Below are 24,360 nucleotides of genomic sequence, written 5' to 3'. Positions count from 1 at the left end.
ACGCAGCTCCGCCCTCGCGATGCTCTCCGGGTGTGTGCTAAAGAGAACGCAACTCCGCCCTCGCAAAGGCGGCGCGCCGGCGCAGGCGCAGAGAGGCGCGGCGCGCCGGCGCAGGCGCAGAGAGGCGCGGCGCGCCGGCGCAGGCGCAGAGAGGCGCGGCGCGCCGGCGCAGGCGCAGAGAGGCGCGGCGCGCCGGCGCAGGCGCAGAGAGGCGCGGCGCAGGGCGTAGACGCACGCCGGCGCCTCCCCGGAGGGGAGGGGTCGCTGGGCGGCCGGAGTGAGGCGCGGCGCAGGCGCAGAGACGCACGTCGCTGGGCTGAGGGTGGCGGGGAGTGTTGCAGTCGCACAGTCGCGCGCCGCCGGGCGGGGAGCGCGGGGGTGGTGCGGTGCACGCGCAGAGACACACGTCCCCGGCGGCGCGGCGCAGAGACCAGTGGAACCTGAGTATTCTGAAAAGCCCGTTTCGGGCGCCCCCTGCTTGCAGCCGGGCACTGCAGGACCAGCTTGCCCACGGTGCTCTGCCATTTCGCCCCCTACTGGCGAGTAGGACAACTGCAGGGCCCTCTTGCTTACAGTGGTGTCCAGCGCCCCGTGCTGGCGCCGGGGCACGGCAGGGCTCTCTTGCTCGCAGTATAGTGGTGGCACGCCGCCTGCTGGCAGCTAGGGACATTGCAGGGCCCTCTTCCTCACATTATAGTGGCAGCACACCCGCCTGCTGGCAGCTGGGCACACTGCCGGGCCCTCTTGCTGCCATTGTCGTGGCTGCACGCCACATGCAGGCAGATGGGGACTACGGAGGGCCCTCTTGCTCCCGGTGTAACGGCTGGCGTCCCCTACTGGCCGCCTCCTGCACCACTGAAAGTCAGAGCGCCAGTTATTAATCCCCATCAGTTCTGCAAATTAAAACTGAAAAGGAGCTATTACTGCGGAGAGCTGATGTCCCAGTTATTAACTTGGAAGACAGCTTTTCACCAAGAGGCAGTACAAAGATGGAAGATAACTTCATTGAAAAGAAATACAGTGTAAAGAGCTTATTGTACAAAAATAGGGAGGAGTAGGCTGATAGTGCATGAAAACAGCCTAAGAGTCCTGTGCAGGGATTTTTATTTTGGACTTCTTCACATTCCTGCCTCTGTCTCAAGTCTCCGCCTGTTTTCTTTGGTTTTCCTGCTACTGCCTTAGGTCCCCGACTTGCCCCACTTAGCCTTGTGGGACCTCCTCACTGTTGATTGAGGTACATGTGTGGTGATCAATCCGAATCCACTCTGGCACCAGCCTCCTTCCCGCCATACCAGGCAGGCTGACAGCGGTCACGTTTGTATCTACTGCAGCTGCCTCTTTTGAATGTCTTTCTCTGCCCTAATCTGTACTTATGGTGCCAGGTTTCTCTTAAGAATGTCCCCTTTCTCCTTCTTATCAGCATGTAGCTAGCAATATTCTGACATTTTTATTGCAGAGTGAATGATGATTGGGGCATCTCAAGAGAAGTTCTAGGGTGTTTCTGCGTAGGTACCTCTTCTCCCTCCTAACCACAATTGACAAGTGCCCATCCACTCCAGCACTAGAGATGCTACTAATATATGCATTTTTGGTGGTCCCTCCACGTGAGCCTTCACAGACTTTCCCTTTTCCAGGAGCTCCCCCTCCTGTTCATGTCTAGCTATCTACTCTAACAGAGCCCACTATCCTGTGTCTTTCCCAAAAATAGTGAGGGAATGATTAATTGGAAACCATAAGAAATGATATGCATGTAGATGAAAACTTTACAACTTACACAAATAATCACTCAAAATCATCCTTAGATTAAAAATGCAAAACTATACAATTTCTAGAAGAAACTATAGAGGAAAAGCTATGTGCCTTTGCGTTTGGCAATGAATTTTAACAAATGACACAGAAGGTTGATATACACAGAAGAAATGACAATGTGGATTTCTTAATATTTACAGTTTATACTCTGGAAGAGACCTTGTTAAGAGAACAAAAAGACAAGCCACATATTGAAGAAAATATTTGCAAAATACAGATCTGAGAATTTGTATTCAAAATATATAAAAAAGTGTTAAAACTAAACAATAAGTTAAACAGCCCAATTAAAAACACACAGATCTAAACAGACACCTCACCAAAGAAGATCTACAGATGGCAAGTACACTTACAAAAAGATGCTCAACATACTAGAGAACTGAAAACCACAAAAAGATAGCACAGCTGGTCTGTATCTCTTAGAACTGCTAAACTCTTTAACAAATGACAAATTGCTGGAGGAAAAACAAGAACTCTTTTCATTGCCGGTGGAACACAGTGTATAAGACCAAAATATGCCACCCCAAAATATAATGGTAGGAAACCAGAATATGAAACCCCAAAATATGTCCCTTTGGCTTAACAATTATTCCAAGCTAATTATTTTGAAAAAAAAAATGCTAACAAAGGAAGTTGTGAAAACAGAGTAGAAGTTACACTTGTGTAAGGAAAATTTACATCTATAAAGGAAATCACCATTTAAAAGCTACCTCTCTCGACACCAAGAAGGATAACTAAATCACTAAAGACTCTTATCAATGGAGAATGCATGGACTTAAGTCTGTATAACGAACCTTACCCTTGTCTAATGTGCTTTTGCTGGCTAACTCCCCACTCACCACTGCACCTCAAATCTTCTTTCTTTAAGTTGAAGATAGTATTTATGCTTTAATTGAAAGCCACCTGTTGGAGATTTACTCATTTTTCCTTGAGTATCTCCCATGTATCCATAAGGTATACATGTTTTTAAACTTTTCTGTTTTTCTCATTTTAATCTGTCAGTTTTTACAGCGGGTCCCATCTAAGAATTCCAAAAACATAGAAAATTTTTTTCCTCCCCATTAAAATTTCGGCAGTTTTTTCTAAAGCTAAACAAGTCTCACCTTACAATCCAAAAATCACATTCCTAAGTATTTTGACAACTACTTTGATGTTATTTCCAAACAAAAGCTACCATGCAATTATTTACAGAAGCCCTATTCAGAATGACTAAAGGAAAAAAAAGGAATCAGAAAGTCTTACAATAGACGACTGTGTGGGACTCCACTCAGACATCAAAAGTTGTTATAAAGATTATTTAAGTGAAAACACTTGAGATACTGAAGATAAAGGAAGAAATCTTACCAGAACTTACTTTATCCAATTAAAGCAGAACTCCCAGAAAAATACAACTGCCATTAACCCCATCCAAGGAGTTTCTTGCAAATTCAGCTGCCATAGACACAGCGTACTCTTTCCCATTAGCATTGATAAATGAAAATAAAATCCTAAGCTCCCAACTGACTGAACAGACCCACTCTTGGCTGAGGGGACCCCAGAGTAACTTTCAAAACTGAGTTCTCAGCTTTGCTAGGATGGGATGATGGAGGTCAGATACACATCGTTATACCCCTTCCTTTGCTAACCTTGATGAGGCTTTCTTCCCTAAGGATTTAACAGAAACCAGCCCTTTCAAAGGCTCTACCACTGATATCAACCTCTCCTTTCTTGCCTGATAAGAGACCACCCACAATGGAGAGGTTCTGGCCAGTGTACAGAGGATGCACAGAGCGAGTTTTCATGTCCTCTGCTTCACCTTTTAATGTCAGATAGCTGAAAACTCCACCCTGGGATCATGATAACACTGCCATTTTTTGTACATGGGACCCATGAAGAAGCAAGAAACTCAATTGCACATGCATGCATTTCTCCTTCCATAAATATTCATGACTCCTCCTAGAGCTTATTAAATAAATGCATTTGGCCATTCCAATCAGCATAAATTACTATTTCCTTTACCTCCTCCTTGAAGCATCTGTTTCTGGCTTCTGGCTGGAGGCTGTGCTTCCCAGCCTGTCAGAAGGACAACCCTTCAGGCTGCAACCCTTTATAAGAAATAAATCTCTCATTGGGTGTGGTGGCTCATGCCTGTAAACCCAGCACTTTGGGAGGCCAAGGCAGGTGGATCACCTGAGGTCAGGAGTTTCAGACCAGCCTGGCCAACATGATGACACCCTGTCTCTACTAAAAATACAAAAAAAAATTATCCAGGTGTGGTGGTGGGTATCTGTAATCCCAGCTAATCAGGAGGCTGAGGCAGGAGAATCGCTTGAACCCAGGAGGTGGAGGTTGCAGTGAACCAAGATCACACCATTGCACTCCAGCCTGGGCAACAAGAGTGAAACTCTGTCTCAAAAAATAAAAATAAAAATAAACATAAAAATGAAGAAATGTCTCCTTTCCAAATTTATGAACCTCATCGTTCTTCCACTGATAGCATTAAAAGGTTCAAAAAGATCTTTCCATACTCTCCCACAGAAGCCCTAGAAATTGTCATTTTGTTCATCATTCTGGATGCCTGAGAACTTGTAATCCAATGAGTAGAAAGTTTGGTACCCCATTTATGGCTGTCAACCTGCCAGTTCTCAGGAGTTTGTATAAAAGCCTAAATCCGAAAGGATCTCATCCCATTAGGACCCTTGTCTCCTTTTCTGTTGCCTTTGCCCACTGGCTCTGGCAACAGGGGTCTTTCTTTCTCCTTGGCTATCTTTGGATATGGGGGCTCCGTCTTCTGTGCCACCTTAGGGAATGCCTTTTGCAGGCATGGCTAAGTCATTAAAAAGCCTACAGTTTCAGTAACATTTTGAGTGAGCACTCTCTGAAGCTGCGTTGGAATCTCAGGCTTCTTTGTCTGGAAGATAACTCTTGGGCTACAAGTTTCTTATCCTAGCTTTGGTTTTGAGGCCTCTCTGTTCTCTTCTTGGGTCGGAAGTTATTCCTGGCTTTTTGTTTCAAGGTGTCTCTGTGATCTTGAACTTGCTCCTTTCATGGGAACTTCTCAGTTGACTAAATTCTCCCTTCTCAAACCTCTGCTGACTATGTGTTCCAACAATATGGAACTAATTCTACTTCCTTTCCTGTTTGCATGATTTTACTAAGAATTATTTAGAAATTTAATCGCTCTTTTGAGAAAATTTTTATCTTCCAAATTGCCTCCTTTTAGACTTTTCCTTTCCCAGTTGAGTATCTCAACTCCCTGTAATCACTGAAACTTTAGGCACCCCACTCCATGCCTTGGAGTGCTCTCCATGCTCTCAATGTGCTCAAGAATCTGCAAAAGCAAACACCTGGGGCTGAAAAATAAAATAGAAAAAAAAATATTTCTCATCCTCCATAAGATTGTATGTCCAAACAAAAGAAAATCTTAAAAATCTCCAAAAATATTGGTGAGACAAAAGCTTTGGCGCTCATATGAAGAAGATAAAAACTTGTTCCATTTTCCAGATACACAGTTATAATACAAATATAAAATTGGGCAAAGACAAAAACCAAGTCTTCTACATAAACTAGTGAATTTAGTATTATTGTAATAACATTAGTCAGGGTTCTCCAGAAAGGCAGAATCAATAGGATATATGTAGATAGATAGATGAGAGAAGACTCATTAGGGGAATTGGTTCACATAATTATGGAGGCTGAGAAGTTACACAATAGCCTGTCTCCAAGTTCGAGAACCAGGAAAGCTGGCAGCATGGCTCACTCCAGATATAAAGGACTCAGAATCAGGGAAGCCAATGGTGTAACTCTGATTGTGAGGCCAAAGGTCTGAGACCCCGAAGTTCTGATGTCAAGGGCAGGAGAAGAAGGATGTTTCCGTTTCAGAAGGAGATAATTCACCTTTCCTCTTCCTTTTTGTTCTATCTGGGCTCTCAACCAATTGGATGGTGCCTGTATTCATCCATTTTTATACAGCTATGAAGAAATACCTGAGTCTGAGCAATTTATAAAGAACAAAGAGGTTTAATGGGCTGACAGTTCCACATGGCTGCAGGGGCCTCACAATCATGGCAGAAGGGGAAGCAAATCTATCCCTCTTCACAAGGCAGCAACAAGGAGAAGTGCTGAGCCAAAGGGGAAAAGCCCCTTATAAAACCATGAGATCGTGAGAACTCACTCACTGTCATGAGAACAGCATGGCAGTAACCACCACCATGATTCAATCACCTCCCACCGGGTCCCTCCCACGACATTTAGGGATTATAGGAACTACAATTCAAGATGAGATCTGGGTGGGGAAACAGGCAAACCATATCAGTTCCCATCTACACTGGGTCATGGTTATCTCAGTGTCTTCCAGAAACACCCTCACAGATATGCCCAGAAATTGTGTTTGACCAGCTATGTGTGTCTCTTAATCCAATCAAGTAGATGTCTAAACTTAACCATCAGAATATTTATGCCTGATTCATGGCTGAAATTGTGTTTGACCAGCTATGTGTGTCTCTTAGTCCAGTCAAGTAGATGTCTAAAATTAACCATCAGAATATTTATGCCTGATTCATGGCTGAAATTTCAGGATGAAAGCTATGAAATCTCTATTTGTGTTTGTATATCTATTAATGTATGTAACATATATGTGATATTTTCTTAACTCCGGATAGCATTGCAAAATTCATTTATGAAATCCTCTAAAAGTGCTCTATTCTAACTTGGCTTGGAAAAAAATAAGCATTTATAAGTAAATATTCACCAAACTCCTAGAAATATAGGAACTGATCAAATGTTTTTTAAGTTAACACGATTTGGATAAAACTTAGTTAAATAAGATTAATATAATATTTTTGGTGTAATAAAACAACTGTCTTCAAAATTATCACTATTGAATATAAAACAAACATAAATTCCTATTCTGCTTGAGTTCTAGTCAAATAAGCTAATATTATACTTACTAAAAACGTAAAATCTTAAAGCTTATAGATTTGGTTCTAATTAATTTGTCATTCTTATGAAAAACATCATTTTTTTATGGTGAAAAGATACACATATATTTAGAGTTAGCCAGCTGGACTCAGTTTAGATGATCCCAATTTTGTTGCAACATCCAAAGCATCATAATCAGGAGCCAGTCGAACATATGCCTTCTTCTCTTTATCAGGACAAATCAGGGTGGTGACCTTGGCCACATCACTGTCATAGAGCTTCTTCACAGCCTGTCTGATCTGGTGCTTCTTGGCTTTAACATCCACAGTGAACACAAGCGTGTTGTTTTCTTCTGTCTTCTTCACGGCCGACTCAGCGGTCAGCGGAAACTTGATGATAGCATAGTGGCCAAGCTTGTTTCTCCTGGGGGTGCTCTTCTGAGGATATCTGGGCTGCCTCTGGAGTCGCAGTGTCTTGGGCCGCCTGAAGGTGGGTGACATGCGGATCTTCTTTTTGCATGTGGTTATGGACACCTTTCAACACTGCCTTCTTGACCTTCAAAACCTTCGCTTTGGCTTCAGCTTTAGGACGGGCAGGAGCTTCCTTCTTCACTTTCGATGCCATCTTGTGAAAAGCGAAAAACATTATTTCAAAAATAATTTGTTTACAGTAAATCTGCCTAAGAATAGTTTCCAAAGTACTTTTGGTAATTTTTAACCTTAAAGTTAAGCTAAGTAAAAGATTTGCATTAAATATCTAGACCATTTATAAATAAGATACAATACTAAAACATTTATTACTGAGCATAAATGATTCAAGTTTATATAATTTTGCCTTGCTACTTTTACAGAGAGACTAAAGATATTTTGGCCCATTAATAAACGTCTTTTTTTCTGCCACACTGAGAAATTGTACTATGAGGAAACACATCCCTCTAGATGTTGGGAGATGGTATATTCATACATTTTCTAACCTACTATAGAATGGTAATATATGACAGTTTATAACTCTCTACTTCCTAGTTTTCTCTGTAAAATAAAAGATTACTAAGTGTTAAAATTATAATCAATATATGTAAAGAAAACTACTAGAAATAATAGAATAACTAGAAACAACTCTACGCAAAGCATGCAAGAAAAGTAGGGCATGTTTTGCAAGTAAAGTAGGATGTATTTTTTATAAGGAAAACCATACTTAAGATACAAATAAAAAGAGATACCTAACCATCCCTGTATTATATTTGTATGGGTACAATGTTATGTTTTCAGAAATTATATAAAATTCCTGGAAATTTGTCAATGTCTTCCTTATCCATGCTATGTGCCAGTATAGAGTAATGAGTCATAATTCCAATTATTATTTTAAATGTTGTGCCAGGCGCAGTGGCTCACGCCTGTAATCCCAGCACTTTGGGAGGCTGAGGCGGGTGGATCACAAGGTCAGGACATCCAGACCATCCTGGCTAACCTGGTGAATCCCCGTCTGTACTAAAAATACAAAAAATTAGCCAGGCGTGGTGGCAGGTGCCTGTAGCCCCAGGTACTCGGGAGGCTGAGGCAGGAGAATGGCGTGAACCCGGGAGATGGAGCTTGCAGTGAGCCAAGATCACGCCACTGCACCCAAGCCTGGGCGACAGAGTGAGACTCTGTCTCTAAATAAGTAAATAAATGTTGTATGCCACACAGAAAATTGAATATCCTTGTCAGCTGTGGTATAATGAACTCTCATCAGATCTTTCATCACAGCCATTTCATACTCTTTGTCATTTAGATATTATTTCCCCTGATGCTTTCCTGAAAGCTCCTGCAATCAGCTACAAGTCAGAATGTTCGTCTCCAACACAGGACTCCCTCTGAGACTCACGGAAAAGACTATGACAGGTACTCTGGTTATAGGCTTCTGATGATATTGCTTAAATAACTTTAAGACCATACACTTGACTCAGTGAAGGTCTCCAGAAGTCTGGTTGAGAAACTGATGGGTTCATGACACTGCTAACCCAAGATCCAAAAAGACTGGAATTGATTACATGGCACTGAATGAACTGATGAAAATTGATTGTAACTTTATAGCTTTTTGGAGCATTACTGGTTCTTTAATGTTCTAGTTTCTGGATTTAAGAAATCTCTTTCTCTTAATCTAACTGTAACTTACAACAATTTAGTAGATTATACTTTTATAAATAGAAATGAGGCATTTATCTTTTTTTCCCTGCCTGATTTTTCCAGAATTTTGAAATCCTTACTGAATACTCATATTTTCACGATGATATAGTTGTTAGCAAAAGTCCAATAAGAATCTGTTCACCTTATAACGGACATAATTGGAAATTTTGGTTATATTATCAAGGTTTTTACTGGAATATCATATTTAGGAAGTGTACCTAAGATCATTTATGACCAGCAATTTTAAGGAAGTAAGGTTGACTTTTATGGAAACAATGCTTACAAAGCACTGTGAGAAATGGGAAAGTTCTTCTTCAAAGATTATAAAGTCACAATTTCTTACTATAAGATTGCTATCCACTATTTATGTGTGTGTGTGTGTGTGTGTGTGTGTATTCCAAATCACTTGTCCTAGCTTGCTCCAGCATGCCTGGACAGAACTAGACAAGCCCCAGCCCATAGTGCATGCCATTCCTTATTTGGAGATCCTTCCTTAACTATCCCTGGGCAACTTCCTTTTCTTTCTTTCTTCTATTCCCCTTACCTAATTAAGAAAGTTTTAAACTAACAGCCAATCGGGTAAAGTGTAAAATGTGAGGTCCTATTCCAGCCAATGGAAACTGGACACAGCACTAGGGTAGACACATCAGATTATAAGTAACTCTGTCTCCTTTGTTTGGTGTGCTCTTGTGGCTGGACAGCTATTGAGTAGCACCCTTTCTGCAGAAAGTAAAGCTTGCCTTGCTAAGAGATCATTTGTTCCCACATTAATTCTTTTTTATTTTGGAACACCAAAAACTTCATTCCCAACAGCACTCTGAGAAAAGCCAGCCTGATACCTAGATTACAGGGTTCACAGCCTTACAGGTTAGTAAGGAAGGTCATTTCCTGGTAGGCCCAGGAATTTAGGGATATTTGGGGGCCTCAAGAAGAGAGGAATTCACACAAAGCTATAAGGACTGCAGCTGAAATATGATAGTAAGTTCTTAGCTTGGCTTTTAGCCTGAATAAGGCCTTTAAAAGTCAAATCTGAGATTCTGTATGAAAACTTCCAGCAAAGAAGCTTGAAAGCACCTACGTGGTCATCTCCTGTTCTTGATGCACTTACGTAAATAATCAAGCAAAATCTAATAAAACTAGACTTATTTTTGAAACAAGAATAGTCTTACTTTGATTATGATCAAAAATGATGGTTACTACAGAGAGAAATTTTATGTTTCAATGGAAAACTATAACATGGCTGGTCATGGCAGCACACACCTATAATTCCAGCACTTTGGGAGGCCAGGAGTTCAAGACCAGCCTGGGCAACGTGGTGAAACCCCGTCTCTACCAAAAGTACAAAAATTAGATGGGCATGGTGGCATGTGCCTGTAGTCCCAGCTAATCAGGAGGCTGAGGAGGGAGGATCGTTTGCACCCAGGAGGTAGAGGTTGCAGTGAGCTGAGATTGCACCTTGCACTCCAGCCTGGGTGACAGAGCCAGACCCTGTCTCAAAAAAAATTTTTTTAAAGGAAAACTATAGCCATTGTGAGTTATCTGATTCTAGTCTTGTTTCTTGTTTCTGGGCTATTTTTACCTCTTTGTAAACTGGATCCTGCCATCTGCTGAATTTTGTCCCGCAATGATACTTGTGGAACAAGAAGCCAAGTATTGTCTCTTCTACTAATGTATCTATTGTCAGTTAATTTGAAGGTCTCCAATCCTGGAACAAAGTTAGAAGAGGAAGGTTTTGCTCCCCAAAATGCATAACCAAATTGTGGTACATTCATATAATGGAATACTATTTAGCCATAGAAAGGAACAAGCTATCAACTCACACAAAGACATGAGTGAATCTTGCATGCACATTGCTAAGTGGAAGAAAACAGTCTGAGAATACACACAGTGTGACCTCATTTAATGAGACACTGGAGAAGGCAAACTACACAGATGGGAAGCCCATGGATTGTCAGCTTCCCAGATGTGTGAGAATCTCTCCTCCCTTCCCAACATTCTCATGCTCTCCCTCTGCCTCTAGAGAATTTCCTGTCCCATCTCTCATGACAAATCCCTTCTTCATTCTTTATGATGCAGCCCCTTCTGCATCTCCTAGAGCCATCCTCAGCTAAATTTTGTTGTGTGAGTAATGAGAAGAGAGCTGTTATTTGTATTTAGTGAATAATAACAAATAAAAGGCATTTAGCCTTCTGGAACCTGGTATGTAGTAGATCCTCATGAAAAACTAGCTCTGTTGATAAAACTAGACTGAAAGGAGCTTTCAAAGTCAACAACGACATCATGCAGTGAAGGACATAGATGAGAAGCTGCTGCTGCAGCCTGGAGCTCCTGGAGGCCCGTTTTGTCCAGGACTTAGCAGGAATGCACTACCTTTCCATAAGGAGACACTGCCCACAGAAACCAAGGCCATTCTTTGAAGACAAACATGTTTTAATAGCCTTACATTATGTAATGGTGTAATATAAATAATATTATTAAGGTAAAATTATTTACATTATTATGTTACGACTTTTGTACAGAGCTTTACACCTAGATATTCTGAAGTTGGTGGTCTGTGAGTGGCATCAAGTGATGACTGACACACTCTGACCTGGGGTAGAACAACACGTGCCCCTGCAGTTTGCTGAATTTCAGGGCATCACCACCTGATTTCAAGAGTGTGTTTTCCTATCCTCTAGAGTTTTGCCCACTTAAGCAACAGCTTTGCTGCAATACAGAACTCCACAATTTATCAAAATATTAATTTGGAGAATACTGGTTCACCTAGTTCATTTTCAAGTTTTCTTAAACTATCAGGCCCATAGCTAATGCCAGTGGCTCCAAGGATGAGAAGGTAAAAAGCCTTTTTTGTTTTCGTTTTTGGCAAGAGAAAAAAAACACATTTCAAACCTTACTGTCTCATGCTATTCACTGGAAAATCAGAAGTGAACACACTCTCCTCCCAGCCCAATCACAGCTACTAAATAACCAAGATCTCCTGCAGGTGCCTTTGCCTTGGCTTTGTGAGCCTGGAGTTGCTGGCTGACACTGGGCAGCAGGAAGCAGAGCTGGTCCCATTCCTCCGTGCTTTCCCCGTGCTGTGGGGACACAGACACATTGAAAAACCTGGGTCCTGCTCTGGCACTGGCTGGGAAGCTATCTGACGTCAGGCTCATAGTGGACTTCTGAGTTGAAAAGAGAGTATGGGTCACCCAGCCCCACTTACTCATTTTACAAAGAATGAAAATGGGTCTCTATGCCAGACATGAGAGTACACATTGTAAGGCTGTGCAAGCTCGCCGCACTTGTATCCGCTCAGCACACACTTACAGAGTGCCGAGTGTCACCAGCATGAGAGGGGCTCTAGTTCCCGGGGTCCCACCCTCCAAAGAGGACAGCACCACCTCGAGGGACAGAGGTGCAAAGAGCAAGGTGGGGGCCCTTCTGCTGGAGAGGCGGCTAGGGAGGGACCTTACAGGAAGTGACACCTGAGCTCTTCTCTGAAGGATGAAGCTGAATTACTTGGAGCTTAGGGCGAAGGGTTGTCCGGGGAAGTGCAGCCTGTGAGCCAAAAGCACGAGTATAATGACTTGTCCAGAGAAGTGTAACAACTTCCATAGTGTTTCTAGGCCAAATCTGCACAGGAGTCACCACAGGAAAGAGCAGGATCCTGGAGCCAGGGCCTTGGATTTCACCCACTGGCAATGGGAATGTTCACTGGGAATTTTGGGGGGCAAAACATGAAAGTGTTTCCTCTTAAAAATAAATAAATTAAAAATAAATAAAAATAAAAAGGAAAGTGTTTCCTCTTAGCTCCAATTCTCTCTGTCTCTCTCTTTCTGTCCCTCTCTCTCTCCCCTATCTTTAATTTGTGTATTATCATAAGAAAACACAGATGTGTCAGATGTGGGGATTAGCAGCCTGCATCTTTCTGGATGACTTGAGGGGAGCACTGTGGCCTCTGTGAGCTTATTTACAATAATTCACGAATCTTGCAAAAAAAAAAAAAGTCATGGCAGCAGAGGTTAGAAAATCTCCTAGTATTTCTTCTGATACTTTGAATTTATGATTAATATGTTTAATCTTCATCTTCTGAAAAGTCACCAGTTGCACAGTGAGGACCATAAAGGGCTTCTGTTTCTGCGGTTTGTGGCTTCAACAGTCAGTGGTTTTGCAGCAGTAGCACTGCATGTGGGTTTTAGGCTGATGATGCTCAACAGTGGACAATTCTCTTCACCTGCCTGAACCCCAATGCCCACCCTTTCATACGGTGCGGGGTCACAGCTGAGCTCTCCAAGACACCTCACAGGATCTCGGTTTCTGAACTGTCGGGTGTCTTCTAGGTGAAGGCTTCATCTCATAGCCTCTGTGGCTTCCTCCAGGTAACACTTGGTTTTTTGACCTAACCCTGGTATTTGTGTGACATATGTGTGAATGTGCTCCCTGTGGCAGCACTGAGGAAAGACTCAGTCATCATAGATGCCGAAAGGCAAACGCATCTCCAGTCTTGCATTATTTTTACCCATCAGCCCATTTGAAAAAGAAAAAAAAAAGCCTCGTGTTATAATTAAATCCCCTCTAGAGGTAATGGGCATTTTTTAAATCTTTCATTTTTTTTATAGTCACATTTGCGCCCAGTGCCTGCCAGGATCCACTAGAGGGCAGAGACACCCATGTGTATTTGTGTGGCACTTGCTGAGTGGTAATAAAAACAGACACCCTGCCCTCCAGGAGCCAACATCCAGTGCCAGGGCCAGCGGCAGCAAGTAAGAAAACCTTGGTTTCCACATCTGCATCAGCTACACAGTGCTCGCACACAGGAGGCATCAGTCAGTTTTCTCAGTTACAGAGAGAAACAAAACGTGTCCTCACTACTTTTTGAATTTACCATGTTATCCAATGTTTTAACTTAATTGAATGAATAAACTCCTTATGTATCTGGACACATGCATGGAAAATTCACAAACATTTCAAAACAAAATAGAGTGGTTTGCTAAAAGAAAATTTCTTTGATACGTGAATTTCACTTTTTTCTATCTTTTAGTGATTTTAATGTAATGAAATTGAGAAGTCTGTGCCTCTAAAAGACTTTTTAAAGAGCACGGTACTTCTCCATTTTGAAAAAAAATTGGCAAAATATCTTCTACTGTAGATAGAAGTTAATTGGCTGAGGGTAATAAACAGAAGATTAAAAAATGAGCTTTATCCCCTGCTATTCTGTCAAGGGCTACAGTGAATTACACACCCTGGCATGGGTTTGCACGACACGTGCTGGAAGCCAGCAGTCATGCAGGCCATGCTCTCCCACACTTAGAAAAAAAGCCCAGGAGAAAGAGCTCCATCAAGTTCACACACAATGACCTCCAGCAAGATGTGGAAAATGCTCAGTTCCACAAAATACCTGTGGCCAAATACTTTGAGCGCACTGCTCTGGCATCAGGTTCCTGTGACGACAGACCCTGAGATGCATTTCTGGATGGAGGCTGCTGCCAGAGGAGACAATGTGACTACAGGTGGCTCACGCTGCTCCAACACTGCAGGGGCCAGTGACTTGGGGCTCCCACCCGCTGTCCTGTTGGGGAACTGCGGAGATTCACCCCAGCTGGGTGGACTCTGCTGTGTCCCCTGTCAAGAAGCCCCTCAGCTTACCTTGGTTTTTCCTTTTTAAAACTCTCTGGTGTTTTTCTCTCCAGTGGGGGCTGCATCTCACCTTAGAAGAAAAGATTTTCCAACTAGGGGCTGTCTTGGTAGCTGGTACAGAGGAAGGTCTCTCTCTGGAGTGAAGTCCAGCCAACTAACTCCAGCCAGAACTCTCACTGAGTGGGGCTGGATCTGCCCTGTTCTCCTCCCATCCTCGTGTGGACTGTGGAAACCCATCCATGCCCTATGCAAAGTCCAGCATCTTGGACTGTAAAATGGCAAAAGCCGAATTTAAAATAGATGATTATGTTGACTCTATGAGGAAAAGAAAGTTCTGAGGTAGACAATTGGTAAGCAAGCAATTATGTGTAACTTGTTAGAACACTAGGGTGTAGTTTATTCGTCTCACTGATTATTTTCTGTTTAACAGGCTAGCTAAGAGCCAGAGGGAGAGAAGGCTGGCTGGGAATTGAGAGGCATGAGGTCACCTCAGTCCCAACATTTCCATGTAAACAATGATGCGAGGTGGGCTGATGGCAGGAGTCCCTGGAAATTCTCACAATCTCAGCTCTTAACTTCTGTAAAATATTATGTCATTTATGATCTCTTTAACAAATAACTTTTTTCTAGTTAAAAAAAGTGTATAATCTCTTTGGAGGATCTTTGGTAAATATAAAATGAGTTATCAAAGAAAAAAATTATTCATAATTTTATCACTCAAATTTTGATAATTATATTCCTGCATTTTTAACTAAACATAGAAATTTTAGATTATACTGTACATAAAATATTGTATCTGTTTTTCATCCAATATTAGATTATAAACGTTTTACATGGCATAAACTATATATGTAAATCAGCTATTTCCACACCTGCTTGATTTAACCCTCCTTATACTATTAGCCATTTAAATGATTTCTACTTTATCCTATGAATAACACTTCCACCAGTTATTATTCTTGTATATAGCTCATTCAATCACTCATAATCTCGTTGAGCATTTATTTATAATTTAGTTGCCTATTACCTGAGTGGACTGTGGTTATATGTTTATATGCTTATTCCAAATATATTGCTAAGATTAGCATTAGAGACAGGAAAATATTCACGGGTTTTGAAACTAGAAGGACCCAAACAAATCCATGAACCAGCTCTGCATACTCTCACCGAGCCTTAGTTTTCTTACACAGAAAGTGAAGACAATGCTATTTGCCTTGTGGCATCTCTGTGAAGTTAAAGAAGACACCGATTGTACACGCAGCAGTACAAGGACAGTGGAAAGCTGGGCCCTAACCAGCTCTAGGGACAATCACCATTGAATGCCCCATGATCCTACTCTCAGGATGCTTGTATGCCATATGCCATGTCAGTATCACTTACTCAGTGAACACATATTTGTTGATTATAAATTACTTCCGTACTCTTTTCTTTGTTTTACATGTTCAAATATCTGTAAAAAAAAAAAAAAAAGGTACAATTATGAAATTAAAAGTTAACTAAAGGGGGATGTTTTCACTATCTCTGAAATTTAACCCACTAAATCCAGATTATAAAGCAAGGAAATGTCTTACGGCCCAACACTTGCCATCCATATTTTTTCAAAGTTAGTGGGCAGGGCAGGGTAGTGGAAGTGAAGGAATCAGAGCTCTGATGGGTGCACATTGTCTTCCCTACAAATCCATTGCTTGTCTGGCCTTCCTTCCTTATTGGGGCTGCTCTATCCTTTTCGGCACATTTGAACTGCTCCCCTGTGAGCTATTCTCATTTGCTTCACTTCTAAATCTGAATTCCATGGGACCCGCATTTAAGGAGAGGGGAACCACTTTGGGACTGGAGGAAGTTCACCTTATGAGTTATACCTGCCTCCTTCCTCTACAGTGAACGGTCTCTGGTGTCCCTGGGTGTTCAGTTTCTTTACACTCATGTGTTACTGACTGTTCAGGTGGCAAATGGCCCATGACCTTTATGGTATTAAAGAGAAAAAAATAAAAAGCTGTGTTCCTTTTTTTTTTTTTTAACTTTTATTTTAGGTTGGGGGGTATATGGGAGGGTTTGTTATACAGGTAAACACGTGTCACAGGGATTTGTTGTACATGTTATTTCATCATCCAGGTATTAAGCCCAGTGCCCAATAGTTATCTTTTCTGCTCCCCTCCCTCCTCCCACCCTCCCCCCTCAAGTAGACCCCAGTGTCTTTTGTTTCCTTCTTTGTGTTCACAAGTTCTTATCATTTAGCTCCCATTTATAAGTGAGAACATGCTGTATTTGGTTTTCTGTTCCTGCATTAGTTTGCTAAGGATAATATCCTTCAGCTTCATCCATACTAATGCAAAAGACATAATCTTGTTCTTTTTTATGGCTGCATAGTATTCCATGGTGTATATGTAGCACATTTTCTTTATCCAGTCCATGATTGATGGGCATTTGGGTTGATTCTATGTCTTTGCTATTGTGAATAGTGCTGCAATGAATATTTGCATGCATGTATCTTCATGGTAGAATTATTTATATTCATCTGGGTATATATCCAGTAATGGGATTGCTAGGTCGAATGGTAGTTCTGCTTTTAGCTCTTTGAGGAATCACCATACTGCTTTCCACCATGGTTGAATTAACTTACACTCCCACCAACATTGTATAAGTGTTCACTTTTCCCTGTAACCTTGCCAGCATCTGTTGGTTTTTTACTTTTTAGTAATAGGCATTCTAACTGGTGTGAGATGGTGCCTCACTGTGGTTTTGATGAGCATTTCTCTAGTGATCAGTGATCTAGAGCTTTTTTCTATAAGCTTGTTTACCACATTTATCTTTTTTTTTTTTTTTTTTGAGCCGGAGTCTTGCTCTGTCACCCAGGCTAGAGTGCAGTGGCGCGACCTCAGCTAACTGCAAGCTCTGCCTCCTGGGTTCATGCTATTCTCCTGCCTCAGCCTCCCAAGTAGCTGGGACTACAGGCGACCACCACCACACCCGGCTAATTTTTTGTATTTTTAGTAGAGACGGGGTTTCACCATGTTAGCCAGGTTGGTCTCAATCTCCTGATGTCATGATCCACCTGCCTCAGCCTCCCAAAGTGCAGGAATTACAGGCGTAAGCCACCACACCCGGCCCACATGTTTGTCTTCTTTGGAGAAGTGTCTCTTCATGTCCTTGGCCCACTTTTTAATGGGGTTGTCTTTCTCTTGTAAATTTGTTTAAGTTCCTTATAGATGCTGGATATTAGACCTTTGTCAGATGCATAGTTTGTAAATACTTTCTTCCAATCTGTAAGTTGCCTGTTTACTTTGTTGATAGTTTCTTTTGCTGTGTAGAAGCTCTTTAGTTTAATTAGATCCCACTCGTCAATTTTTGCTTTTGTTGATATTGCTTTTGGTGTCTTTGTCACGAAATCTTTGCCTGTTCTTATGTCCAGGATGGTATTGCCTAGGTTGTCTTCCAGGGTTTTTATATTTTTGGGTTTTACACTTAAGTCTTTAATCCATCCTGAGTTCATTTTTGTGTATGGTGTAAGAAAGGGGCCCAGCTCCCAGCACCATTTATTGAACGGGGTCTTTTCCCCATTGCTTGTCAGAAAAGCTGTTTCTAAGGCTTTGCCCAACATACCTTTAACTTTTGACCACATCTTTCCCCCGGTCAATAGGCTCCAGGAAATGGGACAGGATTCTTGGAAATAAAGAGCTGACCCTGAGACAACGCAGGTGAACACAGACTAGCTGCTGCATAATAAGTAAACAAAATGTGTGTCTTTCATTCAATATTAAACAATGATAGACTGAGTATGTAAGAATGTTACCATCACAGGTATGGAAGTGCCTAACTATGACTTAAATTGTAGAGCCTCAGATTTTAGATCTGGAAGAGCCATGGGTTTTAATCCATGCTGGGAGAGGCTCAAGGTTACTCTGGAGAAACATGTAGTTTGGGGGGGCTGGAGACTGAGGGGAGGCTGGAGACTGAGGGGTGGGCTCCCATTCCCCAGCTCCTTCAATGAATCTATTTTATACGTCAGTTATTGGAAAATGATTCAAACAACTCAACCCAATTCCCTATTATTTGGTCAAAGCCCTCAGCCCTCAGACTTCTTGCCACTGTAGCTGTGGGCTCCCCCTCTCCACCTGCTTTCCTGCTCAGGTTGGGGCAGCCAAAGACTTTCTCTTCCTGGGGAGAGAGTTTAGGGAGGGACCATTTTTTGATTATTTGAGGGTGTGGTTCAGTTGTAAACAGTATAAGTTTTAGAATTTGTGTTATTGTGATGGCAATGACCAACTGCAAAATATTTCCCATTTGCCTTGTCATAAGAGCACGTATTTTATGCAATTGAAGTTTTTGGATCCTACTTATTTACTTTACTTTATTAAGAATAGTGACATTTGAGCAGAGTTCTAATTTTGCATCAGAGTCAAAAGTGAAAATGAAAGGAACTGACCCATGAAGGAACAGGTGTGAGCTATTTACTTCATTCCTGCCCGTCCTGGTTGATGTTGAGCTCTTGCCCTGCATCCCACTTTCAAATGTGGTAGAGGCCTCACCTAGGAAAGACCCTCTCCACGCTGGCTTGCTCTGCTCACCCAACTGTACTTACTTCTCTGAATCCCCTATGAACACTGTTTTCTAGGTTGAGTGTGTTTTCTGTAATAAAAAGGTATTGTTGCACCACTTACTGAGGACTTTTTGGATGCCATGCTAAGCATTTCATAGTCACGAGCTCATTGTACAAACTACCCTTTATAACACTCCTATGAATTTATATTCCCATATGAATTGGCCTGAGGAAGTGGCGTGCTGGAGAGATTAAGTAATTGAATGACAGCATACAGTTAATTACTGAGGGGATTTGGGTTTGGACCTGGATCTGTGATTCAAACACTCATGTCTATAACCACAAGTGCTGCCACATCATTTGCATCAGGATTTAGAATCCCTGCTGGCAGGCCTGGGAAGATGCATTGTAACCAGATAAGAGATAATTACCACATTTACTGAGTTGTGAGAACCACTGTACTGCCTCTGAGAGAATGCCAGGCGCCCCTGTGTTTGTCTCAGTGTCTCCAGCTTGAATTGCTTCACCCCTGGCTCTCGGCAATGCTGCTCCTCTCTCCTGCATGGATCACCTGCTCCTGGAATTCATTCTCCCATTTCTTAGGTTGCCACTTTACTGTAGCTTCCTAATCGAAGGTAAAGCTTTGATGCTGTGCATGTCCCAAAATGCCTGAGCACTATTCTCACACTGGGTTGGCGGCTTAGTAGGGTTTAAAATATATGTATTTCTCTCAGAATGTGAAGGCCAAATTTCATTTTCTTATTATATCTAAAATTTCAATGAAAAACTTCAGTGCCATTTTGGTTCTTGATTCTTTGCAGGTGATCTTTTTCTTTCACTTCTCTGGAAGCTTTTCAGATCTTTTTCTCTGATGTTATCAAATTTCACAATAATGTGCTTTAGTGTAGAAGAACTTTGAAATTCATTTTGAAGGGAACTCAATAGATCTTTTAAATCTGAAAATTCTTAAACTTTATTTCTGGAAAATGTTCTTGATTTTTAAGTTGAGGTATAATTCACATACTACATTTTATTCATTTGAAGTGTACAATTTAGCACTTTCTGGAAGTATCACAAACTTCACCACTATTTAATTCTAACATATTTTCAGCACCCAAGAAAGAAATACTGTATTTTCCATTTTTTCCTCCTCCAACCTCTGGCAACCATTCCTTTTTGAGGCTGAGTAATAGTCCATTGTATGAATATACTTCATATTATTTATCCGCTCATCAGTTGGTGGACATTTCGGTTGTTTCTACCTTTTGGCTATTATGGATAATGCTGCTATGGACATCTGTGTCCCAGTTTTTGTGTGGACATGTTTTTAATCCTCTTCAGTATGAAGACTTCAGTAGAATTGATGGGTCAAAGAGTAATTCTATGTCTTACTTTTTGAGGAACTGCCAGACTGTTTTCCAAAGCAGCTGTACCATTTAAATCCCATTGATTTCTTTTCTGACATTTTTATTCCTTCAGTCTGCTTTTATTTTTTTCTTTTTGTGAAATTCTATTTTAAACTCTGAAGATGAATCAGGAAAATCAACACAGCTTCTTCAAGAAATAAATTACAAGAAAATGATATATAGGAGATATAGGGGAAATGTATAAATTATATAGACTAAAAAACACATCAGCTAATCACAATGTATGAATTTTATTTGGGAATATAGACAGAACAGAATTGGCCATGTGTTTCCGGTTGTTCTGAAGGGTTATAGACATATAGGAGTTTGTTAAATTCATTGTTTATTTACACAAATGTTTAAAATTATCCATATAAGGGTTTTAAAAATTCCATTGGATGCCTTATGTTTTAAAATGTACTCAGAATTTTTTTTTTTTTTTTTGGAGACGGAGTCTTGCTGTGTCACCCAGGCTGGAGTGCGGTGGCACAATCTCGGCTCTCTGCAAGCTCCGCCTCCCGGGTTCACGCCATTCTCCTGCCTCTACAGGCGCCTGCCACCACGCCCGGCTAATTTTTTGTATTTTTTAGTAGAGACGGGGTTTCACCGTGTTAGCCAGGATGGTCTCGATCTCCCAACCTCGTGATCCGCCCACCTCGGCCTCCCAAAGTGCTGGGATTACAGGTGTGAGCCACCACGCCCGGCCAAGCACAGTGCTTTAAAGTCATATGTGATGCTACATGGAGATAATGCAATGAGTATAAGACCTGCAGGAGCACATTTACCTCACCCACCAGAAGGTACAAATCAGAGGCTACTCACCCTGCAGGTTTGGGCAACCCCAACTCAGAACAGATCTAGGCCTCTGTCTTCATCACTTTTCTTAGATTATCACTAACTGATAATGGGCCTCATGTTATTATTTTTCAGAGGAAAGAGTGCAAAGGTTTACTCATGAGTAAATTTCAGTCAGGCATTCTCCTGTGAAATCATTTTCCAAGTAAAGAATGTGCACCCCATATGTAAGTGAAAAGATTTTGAAGCTAGATTAGACGACAACATTCAGGAACCTGTGTTGTCTGTAGGGAGCTTCCTGAATTTAGAGTTAGGCCTGAAGACCTGCCGGTGAGACCTTGTAGACTATGTTGGTGGGGCCCATGACACAGACCATGGGGAGATATGCCATCCCTTCTGCAGACCCCTGGGAGCAGCCTCTGCAGTTAGAAGGTTCCAGATGCAGGCTCTGGGGCCTCAGGCTCAAAAGGAGCCATGGGCTGCTTCCTGTTGCCTTGCCTTTTGCTGGGTCTGGTGCCAGGAAAGGTGAGACTGAAAGGAAGATGCCATCTCAAGAACAACAGCTGGGCCGGGCGCAGTGGCTCACACCTGTAATCCCAGCACTTTGGGAGACCGAGGCAGGCAGATCACGAGATCAAGAAATCGAGACCATCCTGGCTAACATGGTGAAACCCCGTCTCTATTAAAAAAATACAAAAAAATTACCTGGGTGTGGTGGCGGGCGCCTGTAGTCCCAGCTACTGGGGAAGCTGAGGCAGGAGAAAGGTGTGAACCTGGGAGGCGGAGCTTGCAGTGAGCTGAGATCGTGCCACTGTACTCCAGCCTGGGCGACAGAGCAAGACTTCATCTCAAAAAAAAAAAAAAAAAAAAAAGAGAATGACAGCCGTAGGGATCGAAGGTTGGCACCTGCAAACACAGTGAGGCTGGGGGCACCCTGTGCTCTAAGAATGGCTGTGTTCTTCTGGGTGACCAGCCATCCCAAGTTGCTGTAACAGTCATGGGCAAACCAGAGCAGGTGGTTGTTCTGTTATTTACAACCATCTACCAACAGAAATTTAACCAAATCAGAATGCCCATCGGTTCCATTATACCCAGTACTATACTTGTATTTGTGAATATCAGTGCCTCAGCCCCACGCAAGTCAAATGGAGACCTTATTGCCTGTATCCAACTCAGTAAAGTAGCAAATATAGAAAAAGTGCTGAGAGTCCTTGAAATCCCACTCCCACACAGACCCTGTTTGTATACAGTCGGTTATCTCCATGAAAGTGGGAGGCACTAACCCCACAGTCTTGGCTGGAGAACAGATTAAGGAATAATGAATAATAGGGTCACTTGCACTCCTTGATGTCTTCAGGCCACTTATTACCTGGTTTTCAACCTTCACACGTCCTCCTCAGGGAAGTCATAGTCCTCTGGATGACCACTGCCAATTGTGTTTATTGTTGCTTAATTATTTTACCTGCTTTTATTTATTTATTTTTTGACAGAGTCTTGCTGTGTCACCCAGGCTGGAATGCCGTGGCACAATCTCGGCTCAACCTCCACCTCCTGGGTTCAAGTGATTCTTCTGTCTCAGCCTCCTGAGTAGCTGGGACTACAGGTACGTGCCACCACACCCGGCTAATTTTTGTATTTTCAGTACAGACGGGGTTTTGCCATATTGGCCAGGCTGGTCTTGAACTCCAGACCTCGTGATCCACCCGCCTCAGCCTCCCAAAGTGCTGGGATTCCAGGCTTGAGCCACCGCGCCCAGCGACCTGCCTCTTATTAATTACTTGTATCTAGTCTAGGCTTGTCACAGGCCTGTTCAAAGTGGGTGATTTGCAATAGCCTGAGCGTGGCTTTCCTGATTAAAGAGAAATAATTTTCTAATGCTAATAGAGCATGCAAAAAGCTGGAGTTACAGAAAACCCCTGGCACTGGGACCAGGAGTGCTAAAAGCATGGGAAGAGAACGTTGGGTGGAGAGATACAGCTTATTTTCACTAATGTGGTGATTTCACTTAGGGGTGTGGTGGCTTTTACGGCCTTTCACAGAGTAATGAAGAGCCATCTCATTTCTGGGTGTTTATCCACAAAAAAATGAAATCGGGACCCCAAAGAAATAGCTGCATTCCCATGTTTATTGCTGCATTACTCACAATAACCAAGATATGGAATCTACCCGTGTCCATCAATGAATGAACTGATAAAGACAATGTAGTATGTGTGTGTATATATATATGAAGGTAATATATATACAGATAAAGTAGGTGGTTAGGAGTACGCATTCTGGATTGGTAGTTTAATTGCCTGGCCCTGGAAAAGGCAATCTTTTCCCAGTAAACCCCAGATGCTAGAGCATGAAGAAAACAGAAAATAAGAAAGTATAATTAATGCATTCTGTGTGCACTGATGGAGTCTTCCTTTGCTTCCCCAAAGGAAGAGTGCACAGGAGCCTGGCACTCCTGGACCTGAGGAAACCCTGAAACTGTTGGTATTTGCAGATCCTCTCCAAAAAGAGTTCACCGATCTCCTAAGACTGCAAACCTGACCCCAGCATGCTGGGAGCCAAGAGGGTCTGCGGATCTCCCTGCTTAGCAAATTGTGTGTATATATATACACACACACACAATGAAATACTATTCAGCCTGAAAAGAAGAAAATCCTGCCACTTATGGCAACAGGGATGAATTTGAAGGACATTATGTTAAGTAAAATAAACCAGACACAGAAAGACAAATACTGCATAATCTCACTTGTATGTGGAATCTAGAAAAGTCAGACTCATAAAAACAGAGTGTAGAGTGCTGGTTACCATTCTATACCATATATATATCCTATTGGTTCTGACTCTCCGGAGAACCCTAAAACATATGGCAACTTGAAAATATAAACTGATTCACAAATTATTTAAACAAACTAGTGAATGGTATACATTGAATCGGCAGGGGGCTAATAAGGTTAGAATAATAATTACCACCATGGATTGAGTGCCTCCTTTGTGCTCAGTGCTTTTAAATACGTCTCCATCCTCCACTTTGGGAGGCCAAGGTGGGTGGATCACCTGAGGTCAGGAGTTCAAGAACAGCCTGGCCAAAATAGTAAAACCCTGTCTCTACTAAAAATACAAAAATTAGCTGGGTGTGGTG

At 42.1% G+C, this 24,360-nt stretch overlaps 2 long non-coding RNA genes and 1 pseudogene across 2 annotated transcripts; 1 reads left to right on the top strand and 2 right to left on the bottom strand.

Moving 5' to 3' along the window:
• Window positions 1-1,928: 1,928 nt before the first annotated feature.
• LOC112268113 (uncharacterized) lies at window positions 1,929-15,149 on the bottom strand. The gene is made up of 3 exons (XR_007063890.1): window positions 14,499-15,149; window positions 10,450-10,575; window positions 1,929-7,329 (listed from the first exon to the last, which is right to left on the bottom strand). It is a non-coding gene; the product is annotated as an uncharacterized LOC112268113 (long non-coding RNA).
• Window positions 6,810-7,340, bottom strand: RPL23AP97 (ribosomal protein L23a pseudogene 97; annotated as a pseudogene).
• Window positions 15,150-19,547: 4,398 nt separating the features above from the next.
• LINC01054 (long intergenic non-protein coding RNA 1054) lies at window positions 19,548-23,739 on the top strand. The gene is made up of 3 exons (NR_126391.1): window positions 19,548-19,661; window positions 22,718-22,830; window positions 23,651-23,739. It is a non-coding gene; the product is annotated as a long intergenic non-protein coding RNA 1054 (long non-coding RNA).

This window comes from Homo sapiens, chromosome 13, assembly GCF_000001405.40.
Source record: "Homo sapiens chromosome 13, GRCh38.p14 Primary Assembly".
In the NCBI taxonomy this organism is placed as follows: Eukaryota; Metazoa; Chordata; class Mammalia; order Primates; family Hominidae; genus Homo; species Homo sapiens.
This window is presented reverse-complemented; position numbering and strand designations above follow the sequence as displayed.